Source organism: Homo sapiens, chromosome 9 (assembly GCF_000001405.40).
Source record: "Homo sapiens chromosome 9, GRCh38.p14 Primary Assembly".
Classification (NCBI taxonomy): domain Eukaryota; kingdom Metazoa; phylum Chordata; class Mammalia; order Primates; family Hominidae; genus Homo; species Homo sapiens.
Genome location: NC_000009.12, coordinates 23323089 through 23329780, shown reverse-complemented (window position 1 = coordinate 23329780; position 6692 = coordinate 23323089). Strand labels below are relative to the sequence as shown.

General features: G+C 37.6%; 1 annotated feature.

The window, feature by feature from the left end:
* Window positions 4793-5360: an enhancer, noted in NCBI's record as "OCT4-NANOG hESC enhancer chr9:23324419-23324986 (GRCh37/hg19 assembly coordinates)". NCBI's record gives its function as "activates a minimal SCP1, AML or CMV promoter by ChIP-STARR-seq in naive and primed H9 embryonic stem cells {active_cell/tissue: H9 hESC(naive and primed)}" and the evidence as "EXISTENCE:reporter gene assay evidence [ECO:0000049][PMID:30033119]".

The following is a 6692-nucleotide window of genomic DNA, read 5'->3' as shown; positions in this document are numbered from 1 at the left end:
TGCTAAAGCATAACAAAGGTGGCCTTTGCTCTACTTCTTAATAATTTTCTCATCTCCATCTGAGACTTCATCAGCCTGTCCATCCCTTTTCATGTCACTATCAGCATTTTGGTCACAACAATTTAACAAGTCCCTAGGAAGTTCCAAATTGTCCCTCATCTTCCTGTCTTCTTTTGTGCCCTCCACACACTTGTAGCTTCTGCCTGTTACCCAATCCCAAAGCTGCTTCTACATTTTCAGGTATTTGTATAACAATGCCTCACTCCTCAGTACCAATTTCCTGTATTAGTCTATTCTTACACTGCTATAAAGACATACCTGTGACTGGGTAATTTATAAAGAAAAGAGGTTTAATCGGCTCATGGTTCTTCAGCCTGTACAGGAAGCATGTCAGCTTCTGCTTCTGGGGAAGTCTTAGGAAACTTCCAATCATGGTGTAAGGCAAAGCTGAAGAAGGCATTTCATATAGCTGGAGCAGGAGGAAAAGAGAAGAAAGGGGAAGACATCATATGCTTTTAAACTACCAGATCTCATGAGAACTCACTAGCTATCACAAGAACAGCACCAGTGGGGAAATCTGCCCCCATACTCTAACCACCTCCTTCCAGACCCCACCTACAACACTAGGATTACAATTCAACATGAGATTTGGAGGCTTGGAGATATCAGAGGCTTAATTAACTTTTACTTGTTCTTCACTTTCTAATGTATTCATTTAAGGCTAAAGAAATTCATCCAATCATTCTTTTTTTTTTTTTTTTTTTTTTTTTTTTTTTTTTTTTTTTTTTTTTTGAGACGGAGTCTCGCTCTGTCGCCCAGGTGGGACTGCGGACTGCAGTGGCGCAATCTCGGCTCACTGCAAGCTCCGCTTCCCGGGTTCACGCCATTCTCCTGCCTCAGCCTCCCGAGTAGCTGGGACTACAGGCGCCCGCCACCGCGCCCGGCTAATTTTTTTTTTTTGTATTTTTAGTAGAGACGGGGTTTCACCTTGTTAGCCAGGATGGTCTCGATCTCCTGACCTCATGATCCACCCGCCTCGGCCTCCCACAGTGCTGGGATTACAGGCGTGAGCCACCGCGCCCGGCCCCAATCATTCTTTAGATGCATCCAACTAGCTTTCATGTGTTCATGTTTTCATTATGACTCAGTTCAAAAGATTTTCTAATTTCTGTTGTCTTTTTTACTTGGCCTAGGATTCAGTGAATGGCTTTTGGGAATTTCTAGTTACTTTCCAGTTATTTGTTTTTAGGTTTCTTCAACTGTGTTTAGAAAACAAACCCTGAATTATTTTAATCCTTTGACATTTTCTGGGATTTGCTTTATGACACAGAGTAGGATCAATTTTAGTAAATATTGCACCTGAAGAAAAATGGGTATTATTGTTGGGTGAAAGTTCTATAGGTTGTGTTTATCAATTATATTGTTGTATTTTTGATGTTGTGTTTTTCCATTTTCTTACTGATTTTTGGCAACTCATTCTATCAGTGATTGAGATAATTTTATTAAAATTTGTGTATTCTTTTTAGTTCTATGAAATTTAGCTTAATATGTAATTTAAAATATATTGTTTGATACACATATATTTAGGATTATAATATCTTCCTGGTCTACCGTATCTCTTTATCATTGAGAAATGTCTCCCTCCACCTCATTTATTGTCTTAAATCTATTTGAGCTATAGCTTTAGAAGCCTATTGGTTAATGTTTCCATGGTATATTCTTTTTTATCTTTTTATTTTTAACTTCTTGACATCTGTATATTTCAGGTAGTTTTCTTAGAAGCATAATGTAATGAGTTTTGTTTTTACATCCTGTCTAACAATGAGATTTTTTGCCTGAGTATTTTATCTACTTCTAGGCATGTTTATTTTTCCTAACATTATGATATTTGTCTCTATTTAGGTCACCTGTTTTATGTTGCCTTTTTTTTTGTTCTTTCTTGTCTTCTTTATTTGGTATTTTTTATCAGTCTATTTTCCTCTGTAAATTATTAGAAACTCTTGGTCTTGTTTTGTTTTTCTCCTGTTGCTTTGCTGGTTAATCTGGCAATTACACATTGTATCTTTGTTTATTGTAGTCAAATGAAAATGATTGCTTTGACCACTTCCTTGATAATGCTAGGACCTTGACACACTTTAACTTCATCTACCACTTATTGCCCACCATTTGTGTTGTTATGTATTTTGATTATACATTTTAAATTTATTGTATCCCATGCAGTTTACATTTCTAATATTTGTTATTTATTCCTAAATTTCCATGTTTTTCTCTGGAGGTCATTTATCTTCTGCCCGAAGAATTTCCTTTATTATTTCTTTTACTGTATGTCTGCTGACACATTTTCTTAATTTTTGTTTGTTTATTTTGAAGAATGTGGCTCAGATATAAGGATCAGATTATGTTACGAATCCTCTCTCCTTTTCTTCTCCCAGTCTAGCTATACAAATAGCCCACCTGAAGGACGTTTTGGTTCTGCAGAGTAGATGGATTTATCCAGTGTCACTTTTTCTTTGGCCACAGGCAGAGAGGAAATAAAAGAGACCAAATTATTGATGTTTTTGCTTTTTAGTAGATCAGATCCTAGGAACTGAGAAAGGTTGACCAATGGCCATCTTTCACCAACGAGGTATCGTACTCCTCTGGTATAAAAGGACAAGAAGGAAGTTGGAAAGTATTCAAATATATTGCTTCAGCAAGGTGACTCCACATGGAGACTGAAGAAATGGGGGTTAAATGTTTCTTCCCTGAGTCATTTTCCACGAATTTCTTTTGCTTTTGGTTGTCTTAATCCAGTTATCTGAAATATTAAGCCTGGGCAAGTCCGGCTTCTATTTGAGTGAAGTGTCTCTAACAATTGTCCCCCTCTGAATTGTCTTTGAACTGTTGCTTATTGGTGCACATTTTGTCTCCAGAAATCTCAGAAATAGGTTAGAACAACATATTGATTAAATCTTATCAATGCCTCACTATATTCAGGGCTGAAAGTTCACTCCCTCTTTGATTATCGTTGCAAAATTTCCAGACATGTAGTCCACAATAGCTCAACATAGGTTTTACGTAATGAATTTATGACAGCATTAAGTTATACCAATTATTTAAGGCCTACAATTTAGAGGTACTCATAATTGTTATATAAATTCATTCTTATTATGAATTTTCCAAAGAGATATTAAAGTTCACAGAGTATGTTACAAGTTTAAGCCCTTAGAAATTGCAGACCAAGTCTTCAAAGTCCCAAATCAAATTTTATTGAATTTTTGCATTAAAAGACCAAATAAATTAAAGTCTAAAATTCACTCTTGCCCATATCTTATTCTCCTTTGTCTCAGCAAGAGGGACTTTGGGACAGCTGATATGGTACTTTACATCTCAGTCTGCAACTAACAGTTTGAAACTAGAGTCTTAGTGCTCTATAGTAAAGGTAGGTCTCAACTGCCTTTGCAGTCCTGACTTCCTTGTTTGCAAATCACACAGAGAAACAAAAAAGGAATAAAAATTATTCTTTCCCAATGCTTAAAAAGCCTGTCTACATAAAAACTTTCTTTTCTCTCTAATTAAAACTTTGCCTCAGCTGTGCCTGCTTAGATACAAGCCACACCTCTATTTTTCCAAATCAGTTGCTGGAGACCACACACTGATGCCTTCATAACTTGAATTATCCAAACACCCCACCCTATTAAAAATACGCTCCGCTTACAGATTCTAGCCATAATTAGCTGTGACAGTCAATGTCAAAGTTCCATGTAACCAAGTTTATTGAAGTCAAAGTCTGTAAGTGCTCTTCAAACACAACTCATTGTCTTTTTCTTTTTCCTGGGTACCTAATCAGAGAACCAGGTATTCAAATTTGAGGGCATAAATTGCATTCATTTTTTTCTTCACCACTAATTGTGACAATAATAAAAATATCCTAGTTAATGAGGGTAACACTGTTTGGAGAATATAGCTTAAAAATGACTATGAAATGCTATTTCCTGGCTCCCATTTCTTCCTGCCTACTCTTCTCCTGCCCTCTCTCCCATTGCTGATTGCTTCTTGGGACAGGTTACCCTAGATAAAATTACGGTCTATTGAAATTATTGTCTCTTCTTGGTATCAAGAAGAGAGCGGAGAGAGTTAATCCCAATTGCTCAAAATGTTTAAGAAGGTTATTGCTATAAACAGTGGAGCAATGGTGGTTACTCATGAACTTGGTAGCTCACATCCTTTGAGGATGCATAAGCAAGGGATAGGCAAGAGGCAAGGAGCACTACTCTAGGAAGCCCCTCCACACGGGCAACTGAGAAATGGGAGAATAGCAGCTAGCTCTCAGAATTAAGTCAAATATCTGACTACTAACTTCAAAAATTCACCACTTTATCAAAAAGCTTATATTTGGAAAGTACACCAATATCTAATTATGAAGATGTCCATTATAGTTCATAGTTGAAGAACACGTGTTGCTCATAAATCTTAAGGAGAGGTGGAATGCTTCCTAACATGCAGACACCTTGTCTCAGGAAGTGGTGAAAAGAACTCCCAGGAGCAGTAGAAACTGGAGTTGTTTGGTGTGGAGAAGAGTAGGCTGAGAAAACAAGTCTATAATAATGGTTCTTTTCGAGAACCCTAGGAGCTATCATAGGAAAGAGACACTTAATTTATTCTGTGTAACTAGAAAAGGCAGAATTAGGGCAACATGATGGAAAGTTTAGGGAAGTATACTTACATTCACTAAAGCATTTTTTAATTTTTCAAAATTAGAACTGATAACAGTGGAACAGACACACTCACAAAATACTCATCTTGTATCATCTTTGACGTGTGTGGGCAAAGGTTGTGTAATTAACATAGATGAGGTATTGCTCCTCACAAGAGGGCATTAGCTGCGGGCGTCTGCCCGCAGACCCTGACCCAAACGATGGATGAATAAAACGTACACTGACACACAGATGTTCTGTTTTGCCAGTCCTGCTGAGTGTCTGACCACCTACACACCAAGAGAAGTTTGTCACTGCAGTTGGCCTCCATGAGCTAGGGAGATTTGCATTTATTCAGTAAGTTTAACTAACAAAAGCTTGAGTCAACACCATTGGAGAGTAATTGACATTGTGGACTTCCCAAGTAAAAGGCACTTAAGCACCCGTGGTACATCAAAGGTTAATCTTAAGACCACATGAGTGAACAAGCTAGCTAGATAAACTACTCTATATTCCCTTAACTAAAGGTAATGGGACCTGCAGATCTATTACAGAAGTTATCAAAACTTCTTGGCCTTCCAAGAAGCTTTGTGTTTATTTCTATAATTATCTCTAATGTTTTTCCCACCAGCCTGATTGAATCCCAACAGACAGATAGTGCAGAAGATAGGAGTGAGCGGACCACAGGCTGGATCACTCAAGCATCCTCTGACTTCCGACCATGTTAGGAGGTTATCATTGTAACTGGAATATTGCACAAGCACAACTCATAGGACACAATCTTAAAGCAATTTCTTTGGTCTCTTCTAGTCTCCTTACCTCTGCTTAGTGGGGCTACTTTTGCCCATGACCCTGAATGAAAATTTGGGCAGGCAGCAAGACTTGTCTATTCACTTCCAGGAATTATAATATAAAGGTGTAGAGTAACCTTAAGTTGCAGAATAAAATCCCAATTCTCTAATTACAGTTTTCTCCACCGTGTTCTCTTTTTTTTCTCCTAGTGTAAGCCTATTGTAAATAGGAAGACTGCTGCTAGGGAAAGATGCCAGATATGTTTCCTTTAGCTCACCATTCTACTTATTCTTTCTTGTCTTGTGAATAAAAAAATGATGACTTCTTTGGCGTGGAAGCTGGGAAGGTGATGAGCTAGAGAGAGTTGGAACTTTGTTATCTGGTAGAGTTCTGGCCATCTAGTTTTGACACTTTCTGAATTAGGCATATCCCATAGGCATACACTTTTATCTTGTGAGAACTCTCACTTGGGGTGTACTTTTGAGGATGGCAAAGTCATCTTCAGCTTCTTTCTTACTCCTTTCTCAGTTTCTGGGAATCTGGAATGCCTTAAACATTTTGCTGTTGATGTGTGTTTTCACCCTTTACGTGCCCTATTGGTAGGGTATGGCAAGCCCACCACCAGCTTTCTCTCTGCTATCGATATAGGCCATGTCTGAACCTCAGAAAATATTTGCAGATCCTTGGTTTTAACAAATTCTGAGAGTGCAGTTATTTATAAGCCACAGCTCTCTAGTCTAATTTACCATCACAAGATCTTAGGCCAGCCTCCTAATTAATAGTTCATTAGTATCCAAAAACTGTAGAAGGCATATATTAAGCTCTCTCCCTAAGTTTTAAGGCAGTACCACCCCCCAAACCTCATCCAGTGGGGGCTAATGGAGCCCAGAGTTCCACCATCTCCAAAAAAAACAAACAAAAGAAGTATCACGCATAATTCTTCATAAATTTTCACTCCTGGCCCTTTTATACCTATAATGAAGGTGAGAGGTCTCTTATACCAAGAGTCTTATAGATATTTTTCATATACCTATTTTTGAAAGTCTTACAGAGTAAGACGATATTGCAAATTCCTTTGACATTTAGTATCAATTTTCACAGGATCACAAGCAAAAACTTTAATTTGAATACTCTGTTATATAATTTGTTGGAAAACATTTATTGAACTTTGACTAAGTGGAGTTAAGAAGATGGTGAGATAGTACCTACAAACAAAGGTAATAA